We start from the raw sequence: 26,572 nt of genomic DNA, 5'->3' as shown, positions 1-26,572 counted from the left end.
CATTACCTATCAGAAACCTCATATAATTAAAAACCCAAAGTATAATATACTAGTAACTTTATGCACAAGCAACAATGCAAAGCACAAAACAATATTTAACATATCCATTAGATGACAAATTCAGTTATAACTTCTCTAATTTGGACTTTTTCTAATTGAAACTAAGAAAAAACAAAAAACAAAAAAACCATTTTATTTTGAATAATGACTTTTCTACAATAGTCAGCTAAGTGAAATCTATCCAGCAAGTATCTCAATGTGGCTATGTGAAAAGTTACTTTCCATATGAAGCTAAGGATTTAATTGAACTGAATGAATCCAACCTTTTTCTCACTTTGAGAACAGCAGTACTAACTCTACAAATTGTTCTAGCAAAACTAATCTATGTAAATGTTGTAGGGTATATAGGCATTATTGTCAATTTGACCAGAATACAAAAAATAAATATTCACCGAAGAAATCTCCATGATCCTTCACTCAAGTCCTTTATCTCAATGCAAGAGCTATCTTAACAATTATATAATAATAGTGAGCAAAAAAGCTAGTGCTTAAGAATATATATGATCCCACTGAGGTACAGTTAAAAAATGAAACCATGGATTAATTAGGGAAACATATATGCTAACACTATGAAGAAAAGCAAGACAATGAGTCATGATGATCAGGAGGGTGGCAGGTGGTGGGTATAGCTGATAAAGAAAGGCAATGCTATCTTACGGTACTTCCCACATTCATTTAAACCAAAAATGTTCTTTTCTATACCTGTGGTTTGATTAAAGGGCTAAAACTGTGAGAATAAAGAAGAGTTTCTCTGAATTACTCTGAATTATACAGTATCATTTGGTTAAGTTTTAAGTAGAAAAAGGACTTAAATTTTTCTTCACTGGCTTACCTTTCCTCAGTAGGATAAACCACGTAATTTTTCTCCCCCAAAACATGTGACTTAGAAATAAAATTCCTCTCAGATTTTATTAATGCAACATAGAAAATCATTCTTCCTTTCAAAGATTCTATCACTGGTATGTAAAAACAAAACAGCATGCAAAAAAGATTTATAGGAAAATTCTACAGGGTGAAAAGAGGCTTCTTTTAAGTAATATGAAGCACAAGAAAGTGATTGCAGTAACTGTTGTAATTGATCATTCCTCTTCATTGTTGGGAAGAATCACTGAACCAGAGATTGAGGTGGAAAGAACTTTAGATGTTGGTCCCACATTTCCACATTTTGCTGATTAGGAAAGGAAACTCCAAGGCAATAGTTTTGAACAATATTGAACAGGAAACTCCAGATTTGAGAAAGCTTTGATGTCAAAATAGATAAGCGTAATGTGCAGTTTTGACATTTGCAATGGAAAAATGGTATTTAAAAAAGAAATAAATGTAAAAACTTTTGGACTAGAAGATAGGAAAAAACAAGGCAAACCCAAAAAACCTTTGTATCCCATTAGGACTGCTTTCTTTATAACCATGAACAGTCTGGGAAACCACGCTAAAAATGTAGAGAACAAATACTTACATGTTTTCTTTCGGTAGCCTTTAGAGATTTGGCAGCATAGTAAAAAAGCTGTGTCCCACACAAAGCTGCCCAATATTTTGTCCAAGATGCTACCTGGATAGGACAAACACAGGAATATACTATTACAATGCTCCTGGCTTCTTAGTTTCTTTACATTCTAAGTGCCAATGATCAAGTCCACTTCACTTCAACCAAAGTCCTAACCTCAGAGTTGAGCTGTATCACTTCTGAAATCTTAATCTCAAATACTCCTGTCACTGCCATGTAACTACCTGTTTGTAGACCCACATACTCAGTCTTTCCTCCAGCTACAAAAGAATAGTTAACCCCGATTCTATCTAAAGGCAAACTCAACTCTCTTTTTATGCCCTAGATTCCAACTCTCTCTCACTTTTTAAAGAAGTTTGCTTTACAGTCCCACCAACAGTGTAAAAGTGTTCCTATTTCTCCACATCCTCTCCAGCACCTGTTGTTTCCTGACTTTTTAATGACTGCCATTCTAACTGGTGTGAGATGGTATCTCATTGTGGTTTTGATTTGCATTTCTCTGATGGCCAGTGATGATGAGCATTTTTTCATGTGTTTTTTGGCTGCATAAATGTCTTCTTTTGAGAAGTGTCTGTTCATGTCCTTCGCCCACTTTTTGATGGGGTTGTTTGTTTTTTTCTTGTAAATTTGTTGGTGGGACTGTAAACTAATTCAACCATTGTGGAAGTCAGTGTGGCGATTCCTCAGGGATCTAGAACTGGAAATACCATTTGACCCAGCCATCCCATTACTGGGTATATACACAAAGGACTATAAATCATGCTGCTATAAAGACACATGCACACGTATGTTTATTGCGGCATTATTCACAATAGCAAAGACTTGGAACCAATCCAAATGTCCAACAATGATAGACTGGATTAAGAAAATGTGGCACATATACACCATGGAATACTATGCAGCCATAAAAAATGATGAGTTCATGTCCTTTGTAGGGACATGGATGAAATTGGAAATCATCATTCTCAGTAAACTATCGCAAGAACAAAAAACCAAACACCGCATATTCTCACTCATAGGTGGGAATTGAACAATGAGATCACATGGACACAGGAAGGGGAATATCACACTCTGGGGACTGTTGTGGGGTCGGGGGAGGGATAGCATCGGGAGATATACCTAATGCTAGATGACGAGTTAGTGGGTGCAGCGCACCAGCATGGCACATGTATACATATGTAACTAACCTGCACAATGTGCACATGTACCCTAAAACTTAAAGTATAATAAAAAAAAAAAAAGAAAAAAAAAATAAAGAAGTTTGCTTTTGCAATTAACTCCATTGCTTCTCAATCTCTCTCCCTCTACCACCATTATACAAATGAACCTTAATAGTACTCCCACCTTTAAAATCCCTCCTTTGACCCATCTCCTCACTCCCCAGACACCAACCAATTTCTCTTCTCCTTTTCACAGCATAACTTCTTGCAAGGGTGTCTCTAAATCTTGCCTCTACTTCTTCTGTTTTGCCCATTTTCTACTTAACTCATTTCATTTGGCTTTTGGGCCATCAAGGTCACTGATGATTGTAATTTTAGCAAAGCCTCTATCCTTATCATAGCCAGCCTCTTAACAGCATCTGACCCAGCTGGCCACTCTTTGCTTTTTGAAGTACTGTAACTGCTAGGCTTCTGGGATAACAGTTCCTTAGTTTTCCTTTATACTCTTCTTTGTGGGAGACCTTTAATGCTACAGAGCCCCATCTCCAACCTTGTTTTCTTCTCTAGCTATACTTTCTTCTTAGATAATCTATCATCCAGTTCCATATTTCAAATACTATCTATCTGTATGCTAATGACTCCCAAATCTATCTCCCTGCCACCTCTCTGCTGACCTCATGATCCATACTTTTTCAACAGCCACAATGACACCTCCACTTGAATGTTTAATAAGCATATCAAACTGAACTTGGCCAAGACTGACCTGCCCCCCATTTCAATAAATGTCCCCAACATACACCCATCTCAGTCCCCAAACCTAGAAGTTATCTTTGTTTTCACTCTTTCTCTCATACATCATGTTTAATTTATCATCAAACAACTCCAGCTTTTGCCTCTTACTTGATCTCCTCCACCTTCCCCAATTTCAATGCGTAAACTACACAAGCCTTCTTGTCTCCTGAACTCTAGATATTCACACAGCTAACTCACCTTCCTCATTCAGATCTCAGCTCAAATGTTTTGCCATGGTGGCATCCCTCCTTGCCCCATCATTCTGTATCCTATGACATTATTTTAAAGCCTTATTCTCTATTTCTCCTCACTGAAATGTAATCCAGGAGGAAGACACTTTGCCTCACCTTGTTCACTGCTCTATTTCTAGCATCCAGCACACAAAAGGTATGGTAATGCTTCAACTGACATGCAATTCTGAGTTCACTAGCCTGCCTAAGAGATTCTTGATTTGTATGTGCCTTTGGCTTACTGTGATATAAACAACAAAATAAGATTACTTATATGAAGCCCCCATATCTTCAAAAGCTTTAAGTGTGAATATATATCAAAGGTTTTATATTTCAAATTTGAGAAAGGGAAAAAAATTGTTCCTTAGTAGTCAAACTACTATGCTGGTGTTGAGGAAGAAGAAACTTCTTTGATACATATTAAGAGCTTTGTTCCACCAATCTTCCTTTTTTCCCCCCCCAATATAGTTATAGGTTTGGAAAGCATTTAATATTTGGATTCTATGTTATGTAGAAAACAAAACTGTATTACAGGAATTTAAATAAAATGATAAAACACAATCAAATTCCATTTTTTAGGGTTGTTACTCTTTATTTTCTATTTTACCTAAACTTAATACTAAAATACTTCTTCATGATATACTTTCAGGGTTCTCTAAGAAATAATTTTGTATACGAACTATAATGGGGGTAAAAAAAAGTACAGGATTTAAGCACCCTTAACACATGATTTAACAGAAATCTATATGGCACATATAATAACATTTTATGTTAAGAAAACATGGTGAAACAAATGTGTACAATATTTTCCCTCTTATCTGTGGTTTCAGTTACCCACAGGCAACCATAGTCTAAAAATATTTATTGGAAAATTTGAGAAATAAACAATTCACAGGTTTTAAAATCATGTGTTGTTCTGAGTAACATGATAAAATCTCACACAGTTCTGCTCTGTGCTTCTGTGGACATAATCTTCCCTTTCTTTGTCCAGCGTCTCCACACTATATGTGCTACCCTTGTGTCCCACTCCCCACTGCTTCCTTAAGTGAAAAGAAAACTTCTTGGATTAAGGAAAGAAAAATTAGACGCTAAGGTTGCTAAGATCCATGGTAAGAACAAATTTTGTATCTGTGAAATTGTGAAGAAGGAAAAAGAAATTCATGCTAGTTTTGCTATAGCATCGCAAACTGCAAAAGTTACGGTTACTGTGTGGGCTTAAGTGCTTAGTTAAGATAGAAAAGGTATTATATTTGTGAATGGAAGACATGAACAGAAACATGTTCCAAATGATGGTAATTTGGTTTGGTACTATCTGAGGTTTCAGTCATCCCCGGGGGATCTTGGAATGGATGACCCAAGGATAAGAGGGGAGGACCTTATTTAATATTATTTCAAGTCTACTATAATCAGGTTTTATTTTAATTGTTTTAGTACTTTTACAGAGTCTTATAAATTTGCATATTTTTAGAGGTGTATTAAAATATAATATGATGAAATCTTACTGTAGGCTTTTTGCCTTCTTTTAACAAAGTTTTTCTCCTGAGAACACCTTGAATAGTAACAGCTCCTGGATATAAATGTACTGCCAAATCTTCTGATTCTGCAGAACTATAATAACGAAGAAAAGAACACATAAGAGCTTTTGTCTACAATAGTCATCAAGTAGGTACTTAAATAAAATGTAATTATTCTTAATTTTAAAAGTTTGTTACTTTATTCAGAGCTGAGAAGACACTGACAATTCTAAAGGTTTATTAATCTTGAAATTTATAAGCTGTACAAAAAGTTGATTAGAAAGTTATTAAAGTCAGCAGATGGTTAAAAAACACACTTTATTACATATTTGAACAGTATAATTTAGAAAGAATGCAGTAATTCACTTTAGTAAATATTAAATTAAAAATTTAAGATTTGTTTTCTTCTTCTTAACATGCCACACTGCATCACTGTTGCAACCTTATTTTCCACATAGAAACTTTAAGTCCTGGTAGGAAAAATGAGGATTCTATTTGTTAAAAGTATTTAAGTATATATAAAACTGAAAATAAAAATACAAGCTCAAAAAAAAAAAAAGAAAACATGCTTAATTTAATTCTAAAATAGCAGAAAGAAGTAATAAAGTCAATAATAATATATTTTAAAAACTAGCTTTCTGCAATACATTTTAATAACATTTAAATGGTGTCAATGGATAAGTGATTATGGCCTAATAGCTCTCCACGAAAGGAAAAAACCCAAAACTCAAGATTTCCTTTTCATGTATCTTTTAAAAAAAAAAAAATCACAAAATAACCAACACTTTAATATCTTTCCCTAATTGATTTAAGGTCCTATGTTTAATACAATAATTAATGATTTCTACATGAGCCAATAAAACATACATGCTGACAAAAATGTCACTGGTGACTTGACATGAGCTGCAGAATTCCTATAAGAGCAATGAAAACTAAAGTTTGCCAGTTTATTCCTTTGTGATTATTTAGGTGTCTTCAGAGTGACTTAAGAACCTATAAACCAGTAGAAATTTCATGCTAGAGCTATTTATATTCAGGGAGGTACATGCACGGAGATTAGACACCATCAAACTGACGTAAAGTTTGCTTCTGAAGTTTGGTATTTTGTTGTATTATGAACTGATTACCCATCACCACTAAACCCCACGTTCCCAATCAATACACCACCCTTATCTGCCTCCACAGCTAATAACAGTCCAAAAGAGACCTGGTTTAACCAGACAAACAACTGAATGAATATGAATTTAAATATACAAATGATTATTTTATGAAATAGACTCGTCTACATTCAGGACCTGTAGTTTATCTGAAAAACTTTTTAAAAAGACAAATCAAATATAAATTTATTAGCAAAGAAAATGCTTTGATTACAACTTATGAATAAAGAAGCAGATTTTTATATTGTTCATTCAAAAACTATCAGCATTAGAAAGACTGGTGCAGTTTAAAGGCTACCAACTTGGAAGCATTTTAAAATATGTAACATTAAGATGCAAGTTTTAGCAATTAGCTCTGTGGATCAGAAAGAATAGTTGAAATTTATCTTCATATTAGATCTTGGAAAGAAAGTTTTTCTAGGTAATTTGTTTAGTTTTTAAATCAATTAGTTGAGAAAGAAAAGAAATAACGTCAGACCACACCCATGTAAGCCAATCACCAACACCATAAGGGAGTTCTGTGACCCCTGAATGCAGGGGAATTGTACCTGCTGGCCTTCATGTGACTTCGATAGCCATTTCGTGCCACTCTTGTCACCGGGCCGAGAGAATGGTATAATCTGTTCCTGTTGGATTCCATTATAAATTGTATATATTACATATACTTTTATTCACACAGTCATTATCAATACCTAGAACAGTATAATAGTTTCTTCTTGTAATATAGCTTTCTAAATCTTACAAAAGGATAGTATGTGATTGTTCCTCTTTCTTTTTTAAAGCATGCAGCATAGATTTCAAAAAATTTTTTCTTCTACTATTGACTCTAGAAATACTTAGAGGTATTTAGTACACACCATATATTTACATATACATTCACTTTCACAAATCTGCTAAAAGAATTAAAGAGCTATTTATAGCCAAATAATAAAAAAAAAACCTCAAAAATACTTCAAAAATTCTTACGTTTCTATACCACTTCTTGGATTCTAGTTTAAATATGATGCCCGGATTTATATAAGTAATTCATTTTTATTATATGTCCCTATGAAGACACCTAAAAGCAATGTGGCTTGTAAACTCATGAGGAAAACTTTATTTTCCTCTTTATCCTTTATAGTAAATAAAAGAAATGAACTGAGTAATATAGGCGTTATATTATTTCTACATTAACTGACAAAGCCAATAAATGATAAAAATGATGAGTTAATACTTATCCAAAATGGCACATAATAGTTAAAAACAAAAAAAATAAAAACAGACACATAAAAATACTGATACTTCTTTGCCTAGGAAAACCCGAAAGCACTGTTGATAAATGATGTTTTAAAGGAAAAGCATTATTTTAGCAACTTAAACAATGTATTTGATGTCTGTCTAGAAAAAAAGACAACAATGTATTTGATTTCTGTCTAGAAAATAAGACAATGTATTTGATGTCTGTCTAGAAAATAAGAACAGAAAATGGTATGTCAACATTCAGAGTACATTTTTCAAGTTCACTATCCATGAGTAGTACTTTATATCCTAGTTCTTTATTCACTTTCTATTATTTCATGTCTGAATCTTGCTGGGCAGCATTCATTTCACTGTTCTCAAAATGTTCTAAGAGCCCACTATTTTAAACTTGGCATAAGAAAAGTAGCTTTTTTTAGCCACACATGTCTGCAAAGCAAAACACCTGTTATAAAGCAAAAAAATTGTTTTGAGACGTGAAGGTAACATCATTAAATACTGTCTTCATAAGTAACCTGCTGGGATGAGAACAGATTATTTAACACACCACCATTCTGGTTAGTCATAAGTCAAGCAATCTAAAAAACAATTTGGTTAATCAATATTTTTTAAATATAAAGATTACAGTACACTCTATAATCAACTTCTCATGGTTTTACGTTCTTTCTAGAGGGAAAGACAATTTGAACAAATTCAGACAACATGTCAAAGGCAATTCTTGTGTTTTTCACATTTCAGGCAAACCCAAATGAACAGATCAGAAGTAAAGGTTGCAAGAAAAATAATGCAAAAATAAATAAAAATAATTTGTTTTTACTTATTATTATCCCGCAAAACAAAGAGAACAAAAGTTGGGAACACTGATAATTAGAGTAGAAAGGATCAAAAGTACTTTGCAATGTAGAACTTATAAACAAAATCTTAATCACATAATAGTGAGAAATCTTTATGAAGTCACATAAAAAATAAGGATCTATTTTTCCAATTAAACAGCATGAAATTTATGATTTCAAATAAAATTTAATTTAAAATTGTTTTATAAATTGTGACTGATAAGGAGTTATGCAATTACACATTTTCAACTTCAGTATTAATATGACATTTAACATTCAATCTAAATGACCCGCTTGAGTAATGAATATAGGCATTTTCAGAAATTTAGTTACTTAGTTCATATACAAAAAAGGGAGCAATTGTTTTGGTCAAAAGCCAAATACCTTATGAGTCTGAAATGGCAGAACTGAAATGGTCAGTGAAAACATAAGAATCCTAATGGACATTTAATAAATAATTATTTGCATTGTTTGGTCACATTCTTCAGATCTTATATGTACTTAGACCTCAATATAGTATGATATTTGCTACAGGCAGATGACAGATTTAACAGCTTAAAGCAACAAAGGAAGGAGAAGGGAGCACAACTTAGAGTATTTCAGTATAAAAGTGTACTCTGAAAATTTTGAGTTTATGACCATTTAAATTCTAACCTTAACTTGCTTTACTTGTATAATTTAAAATTTATTAAATCATTTTGTCCTTGACAAAGCAGCAGAGAATAAAGTTGACCATTCCACTAAATGCCTTAAAATTACTTAAATGAACCAGAACTTAAGGAAATAATTTTTTGAATATGTAAGTAGGTTACTTGTCGATGATCGGTTATTATTTTTAAGTTATAAATGTAAATGTATTAAAATTCAAATACATGTGTCATGCCACCAAATAAACATTTAGAGATAAGACTATCATTCATTCTCATTACTTACATATCCAAACTTAAATATCAACTTCTAATTTCTTTTACCAGTAGAAAACTTAATCGCTTAGGGATATGTAGTAAATATTATCTCTGAAAATTTGTATTATATTATTTAACCCAGACAAAATAAACTCCAAGTAGTTCAAATGGACAATTTATCTTACCTTTCAAAAGCAGGCCATGAGGTCTCTTCACTTAGTTCAGAACCATCGCTGCTACCTAAAATGAAAAGTTATCCTATTTTTTAAACATCAGAATTACCTCTCTAGTTTGCATTTCACAATGTAAAAATAAATTAATTAACTATGCTCATAAAATGACAATCGCATTGTAGATGAACATATCCACATATTAATTCTTTATTCTAATATTACTGCTGTTAGGTTTATTTTGCAATATATTGGAATACAGTTGACACGACAACCTAAAATAACAAAATAGCATAAAACATTTTTGCTTGCCTATTTGTAGCTGAAATTCATTATGTCAATAAACAATTTTTCCTACCATTAGAGAACATAAAATAACACAAAATTTCTTATTAGGTTTGTCATAATTTAGGACCAATATAATTATAAAATCCTTGACGATTCATGGCATACTCCTTTCTCTTTGTATTAAAGTCCATTACTACCCTAAGTATAAAAAGCCTAATGAAATCCACTTATTTGTCTCTAGAGACAAAGAAGATGGAATCTCTAAATTTAAAAAACCAAAAACCGGTGCTATAAAAATGCAACAATTTTCTCTTTGGCCAAAAGATCAGTTAAAATAAAATGGTCTTCAAACAGAACGTTTACAATTAGCTAGGGGGAAAAAAAACCAACAAAAAAACTATGGGGAATGAATTTAGAGAGTCCAAAACAGCTTAGTTTACTTAAATGTTACTTTAAAGGTAATTCTGGCTCTCAAAAAAATTAGGATGATTAATAGGTCAAGTTAAATTGTCTATCAGACAGGGTTCTAAGAAGAGAGACTCAAACTCTTTTTTACGGGCAGGGTTCTGAGAGACTCAAATTCTAATGCTGTAAGGTATCCATCAGACACCTGTAATGGATGCTGTAAGGTATCCATTAGACTCGTCTCTCTTAGAGACGATGGATTAATACCCTTCTACGGGTTTGCAATGGCACTAGTTATGTACCATCCTTGGATAAACTGAGATAACAATCACTGAAATAATTTTCTGTATTGTATGGTTCAGAAGAACCAGAGGTAACCCGTGGTGGTGGTGGGGTCTTGTACATTATCTACATTATCCTTTGATTTGTGGCACTATGTGGTAAAGACTGAAAATTTAAGCATAATTAGGATAACTTATTTGTAGAAAATGTAAGCATGAAGCTCAGAGTGAATATGCTTCTCTTAGTTAGCTAGGTGAGACTACTCAAGATTATCTAGGATAGATACCACATTAGAAAATGTTTAAGGCCATTGTTCTAAGCACTGGTTAATTTTCCCACAGTATTTTCAAAGCCTTCACTGTAGATTAATATTGCATGTAAAAGTTAAAGCTGAGGGAAAAACTCGTGTGTGTATATTAACACCTATCATCTTATGGTAATAGACTTATTCTTTTTTTCATATTGTTAAAGCTTTAAAACAAAAATCCTCGAAGGTAAATGCCTATGTGTAATGTTCTTAGTTTACAAACTAGGATGCAATGATCTTTTACTGTTTACTTACTTAGCCTTAGAATAATTAAAAAATAAACACAAATGCAAAAATCTGCTCTAAAAGAGAAAAGTCTCCACACTGAGACACTAACTGTAACTCAATAAAATAACTAAACAATAATCTTTTGGTAGCCAAAAGGACATCCATGAAAAGTAAAAGCTATAAACTACAGAATAATTCTCATTATAACACTTATGAGAAAGAGTAAAATATTATATACTTGAGAGCTGTAATTTTAAAAACTTTTTGCTTTAAGTGGCATGCCAAATTCCATGGACGTGTAGAAAATTTTTGACTGAAAAAAAGTTCTTTCTTTTGCAAAATTATTCTTCATACTGAGATTAGTATTTGCATATAGGCAACTTAGAACATTGATAAGAGGTATTTCAGGTGACAAACTTGCCTTCTTTTTAAAACATTTTATCATTTAATCACTTGTATTTTTATATAAAAAGGGGACTATCAGAATAAACAACTACTGAATGGTAATGGAGAGCTCTGAAATAATTTAATTTTAACTCTCAAGGGCTAAGAAAGTCAGTATGTTCCAGAAAATCAATCTCCTTTTGCATCTCCTTCTACTGGCTGTTTACCAATATTAAGATATTAGTAACAATAGGCTTAGTCCTTGAACAATCTGGTAGTTAATCATAGATGAAGACATATTCCTCCTTTATTTCTTTTTAAAAATAAAAGTAGCTATTATATGAACAATTTCTTTCTTTTTTTGAGACAGAATCTCGCTCTGTGATCCAGGCAGGGTAGTGCAGTGCTGCGAACATGGCTCGCTGCAACCTCTGTTTCCTGGGTTCAAATGATTCCTATGCCTCAGCCTCCTAAGTAGCTGGGATTACAGGCATGCACCACCACGCCCTGCTACTTTTTGTATTTTTAGTAGAGATGGGGTTTTGCCATGTTGGCCAGGCTCATTTTGAACTCCTGACCTCAAGAGATCTGCCCATCTGGGCCTCCCAAAGTGCTGGGATTACAGGTGTGAGCCACACTGCCCAGGCTATATGAATAATTTCTAATTGTAACAAGAAATAATGCTCATCTAGAAGACTCAAAAATTAAAAGTTTAGGAAGTAAAAACAAACAAATCCCTCTCTTAATCTCACATCCCTTTCTAATATGGTCTCTATTTTCTGCTCTCCTTCACAGTAGCTATCTCTGTTTCCTCACCTCTCATTTTCAAATCTACTCCAATCCAGGCCATGCCCTGACACTTCCATGAAGCAACTCTTATCAAGGTCACCAATGACTTTTATCTTGCCAAATCCCCCAGTCAATTCCCCATTCTCATCTTAGCTCTCTTGTTCTGCATTTGATATTCACACATTCAGTACTTTCCTCCTCCTTGAGATACTTCATCTACTGGGCTTTTGTTTTTTTCCCCTTACTTCACTGATCTCTCCTTTTTAGTTTCCTTTGATGACTCATCCTTCTTTTAAAAAATAATCAGACTTCTAAATGTGAGAATGTTTTTTTATTTATGTACACTCTCTCTTTAGGTACCCTCAACCAATCATGGCTTATAAATATGCTACCTCTCGTATATCTTCAGATCTGACCTTATCCCCGAGCTCCAGATTCACATATTCAACAACCTACCTGACATCTCCATAGGGACTAAACATGTCCAAAACACACCTGATTCCCCAAATTCACAAACGCTTCACTGCCCACAGATTATTACTCTGTCTTCTCTACCTTGGTAATAGCATCATCATCTAACTATTATACTTGTTTAACCCAAATAACCGGAAGTCATTCTTGACTCCACACTCTTCCTCCTCCCCATATCCAAATCACATGCAGTTAACTAATTCAACCAGCCCATATGTTCTTTTTCCACCTTCTTCAAATGCTTCCCCTTCTGGAGTTAAAAACAGCAAGCACTTTTAAAACCATCACAAATTATTAACTTCATCCCATATTTAACTGCTACTTTGTTTTTTTAACCAAATTTTCTCTGTGTGTGGGTGGGGTTTTTTTCCAGCCAAGTTTTATTAACATTTTTATTTAAAGTTAAATTGCAACCCTCTCAGAGAAGTATTTCTCACCTATTGATATTCCACTAGAAAGAGTAGAACTTTCAGCTTGGCCTCGAGATGGCGCATGGGGCTCCATGACGCTATCATCTAACAGATGTCTTGGTCCTGCATTTGGAAACGTTGCACTCTTAAATTCTGCTGTGTTCATTTTATGAATGAAACTAGAAACAGAAAAAAAAGTTCATATCTTTTATTATTGTTACTAATTTAAAAACTGCTCTTTATATAAAGATTTAGGACATAAAAGATTTACCTAACTGTCATACTCAGATCTTACCATAAAAGCCTCAAATGAACAGTTTAGGGAAAATGTTTTAGGAAACCTGGCCCTATCTATCTATATAATTAGAGCATACTTTAAAATAATTTCATTTTAAGCCTCGTGTCCGTTTAAAAAATTGTTTCCACATTCACTTTTGGAGAACAGTTATTACATTTCCAGAGAAATCATGGCAAAAGTGAACATGTGTCCCCATTTTGAAAAAACAATACTGCAAAACTAATGAAGTTAAACAAAAAGTCAGTTTTCTTTATATTTAGGAATAAAGAAAATAATTTTTATAGCTGTTATTTTTGACTTATTTTGGTTAAGACAAACAATGACTGTCTTGATATAAAGGTTGTAACTCTTTTAAAAAGGTATATTGCTATCCTGATTTTATTTATGATGGCCCTCTGTAATGTTCATTTATCGTCCCCAAATATAAATGCATTGTTGACAAAATCCCATTTCCAAATTCAGGTAAAGTAAGAAATAAAAGCTTTTAGGCAAACAAGGCATTTTACTGAATCAGAAAACAGCTATTAAGAAAAAAGAAAACTATTCAAGGATACCATTTTCTACTGAACTAATAAATCGACAATAAATCCAATTACAAAAGACTTAAAAATTTGAAAGATAAAATTAAAAATGCTGACTTATAACCCAAACTATGGCACTTCCTATGTCCATGTGGAATCAGATTCCGAGGGGATGGCGGTGTCTGTGGGAGCAAGGCTCCTTCAGCTGCCACACTTTTTCGTCCACTCTGTGGAGACGCTCCTACTTCAGGACCTAAGGGTTAAATTTAAAGAGATTTTCAAATGATTACTTTATTTTTCAGTCCCTTGAAAGAAAATATTAAATGTGGTTCAAATTTTGAGATAGTACTGATGTTAGTTCTATTTAATTGGCTTGAAGATGAGAAATATATCTAAGTCCTAAAACACAAAATCCCAAACCATACAAAATCCATTAATTTTTATCTTACTTATACTAAGTAGAGGCAGTGTAAATATTTTCTCCATTTACATAGGAAGAAGTAGAATTAGAAGAGACTAGCTTTCACATCACAGACAAAATCTGGACTAAACACACAGGTCTTCTGAGTCCTAGGTTCAGTGCTCTTTTAATTTTATACATTACTTCTTTACTCCTAGTTTCAACTTCCTCTTAGATAAAGAATGTGTAGGGTAGGTCAAACACTCAAATCAGAAATTAAATCTACACTGACACTGTTCAGGCTTATGGGAATAAATAAAAGAATATTATAAAAGTGCAAAACAGCACTTTAAGAATAAAAAGAAAAGCAAATTTAAGAAATTTAAACTGCAATGTTTTTTCTGCTTGGAATATTCTTCCCCATAGACATTGTCATGGTTTGTTTCTCCACTTCACATCTTATCAGATTAGCCATCAAATATTTTTAGAATATACATGAAACTTAGTGCGAAGGCCTATATTGGGAATTTTAAAAAAGGTACTTATCAGGGATTTCTTAAATAATGATAATTTTATGTTTTTTAAAAAATTATTTGTGGTATATGCATAATATCCCCATTACAATGTAACAGGTAAAGTAAGGAACTATGATTTTTACATTTTTAATACTTGGTCTAGTATTAAAGTGAACATTTGAAAAAATTACGTCACTAAAATTGACTTCTATAATTATTCAAATTAGTAGACTTTCCCATTAGACCACAGAAATTTCTAGTGTAATCAACCTTCATTGCCTAGGACAGTGCATTCTTAATCAAAAATGAATATTCATAACTACTTATCTATTATTTTCCATCTGTTGCATCTATCTATTTTCCTTGATTAGGTAGCATACTTGTTTGTACACTACTGACAAACTATAGCAACATTTTTTTTTTTTGAGATGGAGTCTTGCTGTGTCACACAGGCTGGAGTGCAGTGGCACGATCTCGGCTCATTGCAAGCTCTGCCTCCCGGGTTCACGCCATTCTGCTGCCTCAGCCTCCTGAGTAGCTGGGACTATAGGTGCCCGCCACCACACCCGGCTAATTTTTTTGTTATTTTTTTAGCAGAGACGGGGTTTCACTGTGTTAGCCAGGATGGTCTTGATCTCCTGACCCTGTGATCCGCCCGCCTCGGCCTCCCAAAGTGCTGGGATTACAGGCGTGAGCCACCCTGCCCGGCCAGCAACTTTTAAATTAAAAACCAAAAAACCCAGAAAGGACAGATTTTAATATCAAAATAAATTTTACATGCAGTATAAGATGTACTAAGTTTTTATTTACTTTGGAGTATATTCTTCCTTATTAGGTTATCTGATTTAGATTTGGTAACAAGAGAAAACTACGTACTGACCTACTAAATCTTCTCTGGAAGCAGCAGAACGTGGGGTGCTTGTCCCTGGTTCTATCTTTAATGAAAGCCTGAATTTTAAAAAGACAAAATACATACAATGATTAATTAACATTTGACAAAATAAGATTAAAGTTGTGTATTTTCTCACAAAAAAACTAAAAACATTTTTATGAAATAATCTGACCTATATACTTTTCTTCAAGAGCAATCTTCTTCTTTTTAAGAGACAGGGAATCTCACTTAAGCCTCAAACTCCTGGGCTCAAGCGATCCTTCCATCTTGGCCTCCCAAAGTGCTGGGATTACAGGCATGAGCCACCAAGCCTGGCCAAGGGCAATTTTTAATTAAGATGTTAAGTCTCTTATCTCTTTCATACAAAGCTGATCTTATGGTTATTTTAGGAAATATTAGGAAGGGAAAATACATTAAAAAGTTGTATTTAAAAACACAAAAATCTCCCCAATTACCCCAAAGTTGCCAAACCATGGAACACATTTAAAGATATTTGATGAATGACTAAATGATGATTCAACTTAGAGCTTACACTGATACTTTACATTTAAATTCAGAAACTTTCATATGTATTATTAAATATATTATGCAAATTATTTCTAAAAACACCTTATTTAAAACTAACCATCTAACAAACCAGCTGACAGAACTCTTCAGCAGAAAGATCTATACAAATAAAAATGTTGTTTGCAAAATTCCTAGTAAGTCCCTGTCCTAAGTCAGAGTTTATTATATGGTACTTAAGTTTCATTTAGGATAATATATCCAGTTCTGAGTTTCACAGTGAAAGAGATTATGATTTCTATCAGTGGAAGCTATTTCAGAAAACAGGACACTAAAGTAGTTGTAGAAAATGCTTTGGTGTAATACACGAAGCTTAATATTGCGGAGTCTGTCTGAAATTTAATAAAAACTGTTTAGTATTCTACTGACTAAAATTTTAAAAATAATTGAATAATACAAGAGGCATTTATAATGATAAATCTACTGTAGGTTATTAATTATATTCCAGTTATTTGATAATATAAAATGCATATATTGAATAGATAAATGATTAACCAGACTTTTTCTTTTTATGAAGATGTTTAATTATTTAGGCTACAAACTATACTGCATTCATTCATGTGACAAATATTTACTGAACACTTGTGTTGGGCACTGTGCTCAGAACTGGAATATAATAGAGATTACGGCAGACACGGTATTCCTGTCCTTCTGAAGCTTACAGTCTAGTGGATGAAAGAAAAGTAGTAAATGAAATAACTACCATTTCCCAATGGCACCAAAATAGAAAGGAACAGAAAGGGAGCTTATTGGGTGAATCACATTGCTATTGGTAGCACCTAGAAACTGACAGCAATATAAAAAGCAGAGGCATCTTTAAAAAGCAGTGAAGGCTAGTCTGAGTGCCAGCTGCTTACAACATCGTCAAAGCACCACATTATAATAGAGATGCTGATTCATTAAGAACAGATATGTTCAGTATTAAAATAAAATCACCCAGAAGAATTTTCACCCTGATCAAAAGACATGTAATTTGTAATATCTATACTGGCTGCCTATGTAGATGAAGTTGCCCAAAACAGGCCTTTTGTAAGTGACATGCCATTTCTATTTACAAATTTTTCATCATAAAAGGCATTTTTTCTAAAAAATGTTTTCTTCTAATTTTTTCTAATAATTTTAATGACATCTTAAAATGCTCTATTTTTCAAACACACTAAATTATTAGGCTCAGGCAACACACTGCATTTTTAGAAAAACAATCTGTCAGTGAGTGCGGTGGCTCACGCCTGTAATCCTAGCACTTTGGGAGGCCAAAGCTGGTGAATCATCTGAGGTCAGGAGTTCAAGATCAGCCTGGCCAATATGGTGAAACCCCATCTCTACTAAAAATACAAAAATTAGCCGGGCATGATGGCGGGCACCTGTAATCCCAGCTACTCGGGAGGCTGAGGCAGAAGAATTGCTTGAACCCCAGGCGGCGGAGGTTGCAGTGAGCTGAGATTGTGCCATTGCCCTCCAAACTGGGAAACAGAGTGAGATTCCGTCTCCAAGAAAAAGAAAAACAATGTCTTCTCTAGTGCCGTATGATGTCCCAATAACACCAAATGACTCATCGTTCGCCATGCAAAGACACTGTTTCTTATCCCATTCCTTTGATCATTCCATCCCCAGCATACTTTTCCTTACCCTTCACGTGAGACTAACTCCCACTCACCTGTTAAGATTCAGCCTCAGATGACGCTGTCTCCTGAAGCTGTTCATATTTCCTTTTAGTTTTCCTAGGTAAAGCTAGGTTAGGTCCCCCCTTATCTATGTTTCCATAGCATCCTTGGCATATCTTTATTATGGTTCTGTTTGAAATGTTTTATAATCATCTGTTTTGTGGATGTATCTGACATTAGACTGAGCTTCTTGAGGGCAAGAACAGTATCTTATTTTTATAATCCCAGCAACTAGCACAGTAACTGGCCTATAACAAAACCTTAGTAAATATATGTCAATGTAATGGAAGGGCTGCTCTGGTTCTAGCTCCTCATGAAAACAAAAACCAGTATAATAGCATTAGCTTTCCTACAAAAATGAAGGCATTATATGATATGTCAATTTACAGAATGTCAGAACTACCTCATGGCTTCACTGGCTAAGTCTACCCTTTTAGCAAAGTAAAAACTAGCTTTAATAAATATTGTATTATAATTTTACAGTAGTCACAAAAAATTTGCCATCCTCTATAAACTGTGCAAAATTTTCTTAGATTACATTTCAATCTAATAAACTTTAAATTCTTTTAAATTCAGTAAGTTTCTTGAGCCAGATAAATGACTAATAGCTACTTACTCACATTTTGAATTTTAAGATATCTGTTCTACATCTCACTGGACAAAACTTAAGTATTTATTAGGTAGGAGTTCTATGTCAGTAATTAGAGAGAAGGGAAAAATAGTGGTAAGTATAAGACACAGACCATCAAACTTGAAAAACAACCTAGGGCAACAGATTTGTGAAACAACTCCAGTCTTAAAAAGCTTCTTCATTGACTTCATACATTTTCAAGTAAGTAACCATGTAGAAACTTTTTGTAGACTGAAAATTGGTACAGAAATACAGTGTTGCTATTATGGTGTGAGAGAGAAGATGGCAATAAAGGCATTTTCAAACATCAGTAAAATTTTAGATGCATTTAGAAAAATTATTCCTAGATGTTTTCCAGAATTTCTATAGCCATTTACTGGGACTAATTCTGTTCTACAAAATTTTTTAAAAACTGTCAAAATCTGGAAAAAGGAAGTTAATAATCATTACCAAAGGAAGATAAAAAATATTTCTATGTAATGCATTAACACTGAAAAATAATCTAGTCTTTCACTTCGATAAATTTTTGAAACACGACCTTTTATTGGAAAAAATATTTGTGAAAGTGCAAAATTCAATTTGAAAGCTTGCGAACAAATGGGATAATAAAGCTAAATAAACTTTTTAAAAAAAGTAACAAATGAAGCTAAAAGAAAAGAGTGAAGCTTCAAGAGAAATAAGCTCTTTATCCTCCTACCTTAAAAAAAAACCCAGCAGTTTTGATGTAAACTGTATCAACGAAAGATGAAAGGGTTAATAATTTAAAAATTTCCTCTCCCATCTTTGGGAAATACTGTGGATATAAGGAGATAAAAATGGATATCAGCTATTTTAAAAATGATTTCAAACAATCTTTTTTTTTTTTTTTTTTTTTAGACGGAGTTTTGCTCTTTTTGCCCAGGCTGGAGTGCAATGGTGCACTCTCGGCTCACTGCAACCTCTGCCTCCTGTGTTCAAGTGATTCTCCTGCCTCAGCCTCCCAAGCAGCTGGGATTACAGGCATGCACCATGCCCGGCTAATTCTGTATTTTTAGTACAGACAGTGTTTCACTATATTGGTCAGGCTGGTCTTGAACTCCTGACCTCAAGTGATCCACCCGCCTCGGCCTCCCAAAGTGCTGGGGTTACAGGCGTGAGTCACTGTGCCCGGCCTCAAAAATCTTTAATAAAGAACTTGCTATAATACAGGGAAGAGGATAATTCTGCTACATTGGAGAAAGGTTTCTTCTCCTGAGACAAGATGGACCAAGTCTCTCAATCCGCAAAAACAATGAAAAACAAACAACGATGTGTCAATACTTAGCATTAAAGAAGAGTAATTTTTCTATTTTAAAAAGTTTCATTAATTTTTCTGTCTATTAAAAGACAAATTCTATAAGGATTCAATGATTGAATATGGGGGAAAGGAAGAAATTTAAATTAGAACTATCAAACGTTAGCTCTCTACAAACAGAGATAAAATATTAAAAAGAACAGATGAGGTATTTGTATATTGGCTCAATCATAACAAGTGATTAAGAAGTAATACATGTTAGTACCTTTACTGCTGTAAACCACTGGATTAGTCCTTTGTATGATACCATGTAGGATTTAGATGTTTAAATACATAGGGATAGAAAGGTGGAGGACAGGACAAAGTTATACAAACCACTTTTGAAGATCCAACCTACTTGTAATTATCGTCTTCCACAAATTTTTGTAGTTCTTCTATATACTGAACAGAGTTGAGATATTTTTGGACATGAGGCAACATGGGAATATCTAGGCAAAAGGTGATAAATAATTATCTGATAAAGTACATCTTAACCAGAACTTTAAAAATTAAGCTGAAAATAACTTAAAGGTAAATTAAGGCCACATGGCAGCAAAATTTAAATTAACTCTAGAAGGACATTACTGAGATAAACTTTAATGTGAATCTGAAGGTAATTTAGAAAATTACAGTTGTATATTGTTTGTATAGATTGTTGTATTTTTTTAATAGCTCCAATTATAAAGTCCCATATATTTGAGAAATTTCACAGAAAAAGATCAAGAACTATTCTAAACTAAACAGAAGACATGAAGGCAGTTACTTTTCTTTTAAAGAAACCTGGTTCCCATTTATAAATGTGGTTTATCTCCTCCCCTTGTAAGTTTCAAGCAAGATTAATTTAACATCACAACTTGATGCTATGTTTAAAATACTGAGAAAAGGACAAAATAAGGAATTATTTGATTTAACTTTCAGTAAGATTCTATCTCCACACTGATAGTTTTAGGAAGTTTTTGAGGTTTTCTAAAAAGTATAGATGCATGAAGCAAAAGTTAGCTTTAAGATAAATTCACTTGAAGTAATCATATAATGTAAAACTCAGTTTTTTAACCCATAAAAATTATGTATTAACAGCCTAACTTTATTTCCTATCAAACTGGAAGTATTTAAACATTAAAAAAAATGCCTTTTCTCATCATTTGGGCTTATGTAGCTGTTTCTATATTTGTCATTCCATAAAATACATGTTGGACAAAAACTGGCTATTTACTCGATAGTCTGACTCAAGAAAGTTGGTCAATTGTCACGAGGCTCAAGGGTCTCAGCTATACTTCCCTAATTGAAAACTGTAAGAACGATTTACATAATAGATCAGGGAGATCAAATGAGATAATAGAAAATGACTAGAAAATGACTTTGTAAACTATAAAGGGCCAAATAGCTGTGCTATAAAGGGCCAAATAGCTGTGAGGTAGTAATATTAAATACTTAGTGCCTTTGTGCTGTGAGAAAGTTGCTGCAAAATAGCAGAAAAGCAAAATATAAAAATAAAAATTTTAAATATTAAATACTTAAATTCCTTAAAAGCAAGATCTTAAACAGGATGCTACATAGTAAATGGCAAAATAAAACAAGCATTATTTTCCTTTACATTAGAATGGAAATAAGAAATTGATGTCCCCTGCTGTGTGAAAAGTGATCATCAGTGTGTGTAAATAAATCACTGGATTACAGCAATCTTAATGGCTTGGCATTATCCCCTAGAAACTTACCATATTCACAAGACTGCTGTAAATCAGAAATTATTCGAAGGATATTATTCATTAAATTTGATCTTTGCTCATTTTCTAGAATGCTGCCAGTTGATGGGTATGCTGAATCGATGTATGTTAAATCTGACAAATAGATACCTGAAATACAATTAGATAAATGAACGTTTTCTTAGTTGTAGGTTGGGAGACTATGACAAAGAAAAGGGGGGAAGGGGTTGTTTATAGATATATTCCACTGTACGCTACATTTAAAATATATTGCTATTAATACACTGAAGCCTGGGTAACATATGGTTACTGGGGCCTAGCTTTCCATACAGTTGGGGTCAGACATATACCAATTTTTTGTAATAATATGCTATTTTGTAAATGTCTTCTTGTGATTTCATTTTCAAGTATAGTTTGAGGCTAGAGTTAGAAACTCCAGCACATATGGGAATTAATGGAAAGGAGCTGAGTTCTTCAATTGGCTCTGCCTCTGACTAGTTTCATAATGGAGAGTTATTTTAAACTGAGAACCTCAGACTTAAAACCTATGCAAGTATCCATTTTCCAAGGTGTGTTACAACTTGAAGATATTAATTTAGCCAGCAGCCCAGCCACTGACTGACATAGGGAAATTATTTAATATTTGTTTTTACTCTCTTGCCTTGAGTTGATAGCTATCATTTGAGTCTTAACTACTTTGAAAATTATCTCAATCTGGTAGAAATGTTTTACATTTTAAAGATCAACAAATAAATTTCTGAAATGGTTCATGTGACTACAAATTGAAGTTAACTATTTCTTACCCTCCATGCTTTTTGTACCAACAAAAATAACACATCCTCTAAAATTTGGTTGTACTAGTCCTTAACATGAAAGGTCACTTATTTAAGTTTATTTCTGGAGAGTTCACAATGCACATGTGAAATGTATTAGACAACTATAGCTGGAGAGAAAAGAAAAACATACCTTCCTACTTTTACCCCATTACTTCATGTTCATGTACTCTCAGGGTAAATGCAACCAAAATGACATACCCACTGCCTTCTAAATAAACCCTGTTTTTACTCAGCTTTTTCTTATACCTAAAATGTTTTCTGGACTTATCTCTGCCTATCCAAATCTTATATTTTGCTTATCTAATTCGGTGTCAATATTCTCTAGTTTTCTCACAGATTCCAAGAAAGGAATTCAGACACTGTCTAGTCTAATCCTCTCCTTTTATAGATGAAGAACCTGAAATACATAGATAGTAAAGGGACCTGTCTAATGCCATGCAACCTGTTAGTGACAGCTGGATCTCAGACGTTTCACTTATAGCCCAATTTAAAAAAAAATTACTTATATTCTATTAAAAAATCATACATTATGTGTGCTTACTATTCACTTAATGACTTTTATGACTTCAAAATCTCATTACTTATTTTTTTTACATTTATATCTTATCTATTCAAGACTGCAAACTCATTTAAGGCAGTTGCTCTATCTTGCACTCCAAGAGAAAGAAAATCTTGTGCAATGTTTTGACAATAGGTGCTTAACATAAAAGGTTGGCATGGCAATCTTTTTACTCATCCTAGTATCATTCATTTTCCACTCAGTAAATCTTTACAGTATTCTTTAAGTCACCTATCATACTTTTTTTTCTTTAGATAACCTCAACTTTATTTCCCTATGACTCCAAATGAATCTTGAGGTTCCAAATGAAGCTGAGGTTCTTCCCACTTTCCCCAATCTTGGAGGAAGAATCATCTCTCTCTTCTTCCGAAATCTCAACTGTAATTTTGAATGCAATCGTTGCTGCCTCCTTCCAGACAACCACTGTTGCCTCTACTATCATTCACCCCTACTGGCTCCTTCCCCAGAGCCAGTATACATATTTTTTTTTAAACCATTTTTTTTTTCAAGAAAGAGTCTTGCTCTGTCACAGGCTGGAATGCAGTGGTGCGATCTCGGCTCACTGCCACCTCTGCCTTCTGGGTTCAAGTGATTCTTGTGCCTCAGCCACCCGAATAGCTGAGATGACAGGCATGCGCAACCACGCCTGGGTAGTTCTTGCATTTTTAGTAGAGATGGGGTTTCACCATGTTGGCCAGGCTGGTCTCGAACTCCTGGTCTCAAGTGATCCACCCGCCTCAGCCTCCCAAAGTGCTAGGATTACAGGCATGAGCCACTGCACCTGGCCCAATATACATGTTTAAATCTCCCCTACTTATAAAACAAAATCTAAGCAACTCTTCCTTCAAATCTGATCCCACGCCTCAAGATAACATCCTTGTCCTCCCTTCAACAAACACCTTGGAAGAGAAACATACAATAGTACACTTCTTTTATTCTTCGTTCTATTTTTAATGTAATATTTGATACACATGTGTCAGGAAAATTGTGAAAAACTTTGAGATGGGAAAAAAGATTACTGGGTATCCTGTCTCCAGTGCACCCATTTGGTCCTTCTGAGCTATTTTACAACTCTGCACAGCTGTTGAAAACTGGTAATACAAATTATTGTCCATAAACATGCCAAAGAATTATGTCCAGTGGGATCTAATCAGTGATGACCAATTTTGCAACTATTTGTAAATTTACTTCAGCGTTCCTGATTGCATATATGTGTGTTACTTTGAATTCTCCCTTGACACATTTTTGATTCCCTTATAAATTTAATAATTTAAATGAAAATTCTGACACATATTCATTTCATATTTGTGTGAGAATCGTGATTTCACAAAAATTATTGCCGGGAACGGTGGCTCATGCCTGTAATCTCAGCACTTCGGGAGGCTGAGGCGGGCAGACTGCTTAGGAGTTTGAGACCAGTCTGGGCAACATGGTGAGACTCCTGCCCTAAGAAAAAATTATCAACACATGTGACACTTGTTGTTATCAAACAACATAATAAACATTTGTGAAAGACCAGTCAACTTATGACTACAACATCCCTAAGGAGAGCTAAAAGATTCCTCAAGGAAATGGCACGGGGATGTTGGCATATGTACATCAATAACAGCAATAGAAGATATAAAAAAGTAGCACAGAAAAGTTTAAACAGGAGTTTCATAAGAATTCTGTGCAAAAAAATGTCATTCCTTGCTGATGGGATCAGAGAAAGCTTCAAGGAAGAAGTGGGATTTGAGCGGGGTACTAATGTGCCAGTTCTTGCCATTCTTCCATCTTATTAAACTCAGATGACAACTCGCCTGTAGTCACTCGCTATACTGTGCTGTCCAATATAACCACTTGCCACATGTGACTACTGTTTCGTGGGTCTATTCTGAATTGAGGTGTATTTGAATATAAAATAGACAAGATTTTGAAGAGTTAACATGAAAAATTAATGTAAAATATCTATTAACTTTTTTATTGGTTACATGTTAATATTTTAATATGTTGGGGTAAACTACTTTAAAAAAGAACTACGACATCATCAATACTGTTGCATCTATCTGTATGTTCCTTCTCTACTTCATCTCCTTGCTTCCTGTCCAGAAGTAACCATTACCTTGAACTTTAAGATCATTCCCTTATTTTTTCCCCGACATTTGTCTGTATTCCTACTTTTGCCTATTTTTGAGCTTTAAAAATCATATTTTATTGTATGTGTGGATTAAATAATAGTATTTGTAATGTTAGAAAAGTGTCTAGTATGGGAGGCTGAGGCAGGAGAATGGCGAGAACCCAGGAGGCGGAGCTTGTAGTGAGCCGAGATCGTACCACTGCACTCCCGCTTGGGTGACAGAGCAAGACTCCGTCTCAAAAAAAAAGTGTCTAGTACATACCAAGTGATTTATAAGCATTTATTAAATAAAATTTAAAAATATGGTCTTCTGTGGTTGCTTCGTCTATTTTGTTTCTAAGACTTGTCCACGCTGTTAAATGCTGCTGTAATTCCTTATAATGAGAACAAGCTAATGTGTGACAATTGTAACTCATCCATTTTATTTGATAGACTTTTGAGTTACTCCCATCCCACCCCCAACCATGTTGCTATAGACATTCTTATACACATCTCCCAGTACACATGTACAAAATTTCTTCAGGATATACAAACATGCCTAGGAGCAAAACTGCCAAGTGCTAAAGTATATTAATATTCAACTTTACAAGATGGTGTCACATTATTTTTCAAAGCTGTATCAATTCATACTCCCACTCACGGTATATAAGCTTCTGTTGATCCACATTTGTGCTAACAATTGGTATTATCCATCTCAATTTTGCCAATCTTCTGAGTATAAAATGGTATCTCTCTGTGTCTTAATTTTTATTTCCTTGATTAGTAATAAGGTTAAACGTATATATTTCTATGTAATAAATGTTTCTGTTCATTTTTTCTTTTGGGTTGTCTTTTTCTTATGGATTTCTAATTTCTTAATGTATTGTGGACACTAATTTGTCAGTTAAATTTTATCTAGTCACCCTTCAACACACTAAATAATCTGAAATCTGTATGTATCACTTATTTTGGCAATGGCATTAATAACTTTCTCATTCTAAGTCTTAAAACATCTCTCTTGGTCTCCCCTCCCTATGTAATGTCTCTGCAGTATTGTAACCATTCTCGTCTAGTTCTCAGGTTTTCCCTACCTTGAACTTTCGTATCTTCCCCCTAAGCCCCCACCATTCTTCTTTTTCCTCATGTTTCTTGTAAGCTGGTTTCCTGGAAATTGGTATCATGGTCTGTCATTAACCTTCCTTTACATTCTACATGTACTTTCTCTAGTATCTTAGTTCCATAGCTTTAGCTACTACCTAATTGCTGGTGACTTTCAAATCTCTCCATATAACTGAGCTCCTGACTTTCATTTTCAATTTAACATATCTAACCATAATCTGTCCCTAAATACCTGTCATTCCAATTTCCTACCCTGGCTAGTGATATTACTAAGTGCTCAAGTTAGAAAGCTCCAAACTGCTGAAAGTTTAAAAGCTCAGAAAGAATTTATTATCTCT

General features: G+C 33.9%; 1 protein-coding gene across 9 annotated transcripts in view; it reads right to left on the bottom strand.

Moving 5' to 3' along the window:
- RALGPS2 (Ral GEF with PH domain and SH3 binding motif 2) overlaps positions 1-26,572 on the bottom strand; it is a 196,597-nt gene that overhangs the window by 22,568 nt on the left and 147,457 nt on the right. For 6 of the 9 annotated variants that reach the window (NR_174383.1, XM_047423755.1, NM_152663.5 and 3 more), the window contains 9 exons: positions 21,638-21,775; positions 20,281-20,371; positions 15,740-15,807; positions 14,062-14,197; positions 13,153-13,304; positions 9,577-9,631; positions 6,966-7,043; positions 5,249-5,354; positions 1,517-1,609 (listed from right to left, as the gene is read on the bottom strand). Coding sequence is in view for 7 of the 9 variants with exons in the window: in XM_047423755.1 (XP_047279711.1) it covers positions 1,517-1,609; positions 5,249-5,354; positions 6,966-7,043; positions 9,577-9,631; positions 13,153-13,304; positions 14,062-14,197; positions 15,740-15,807; positions 20,281-20,371; positions 21,638-21,775 (917 nt within the window). In the remaining 2 variants the exon portion in view is untranslated. The remainder of the gene's footprint in view (positions 1-1,516; positions 1,610-5,248; positions 5,355-6,965; positions 7,044-9,576; positions 9,632-13,152; positions 13,305-14,061; positions 14,198-15,739; positions 15,808-20,280; positions 20,372-21,637; positions 21,776-26,572) is intronic. The other 3 variants (NR_174384.1, NM_001286247.2, XM_047423766.1) reach the window with 1 other exon arrangement.

The sequence above is a fragment of the Homo sapiens genome, chromosome 1, assembly GCF_000001405.40.
Source record: "Homo sapiens chromosome 1, GRCh38.p14 Primary Assembly".
NCBI classification, from domain to species: Eukaryota; Metazoa; Chordata; class Mammalia; order Primates; family Hominidae; genus Homo; species Homo sapiens.
This window is presented reverse-complemented; position numbering and strand designations above follow the sequence as displayed.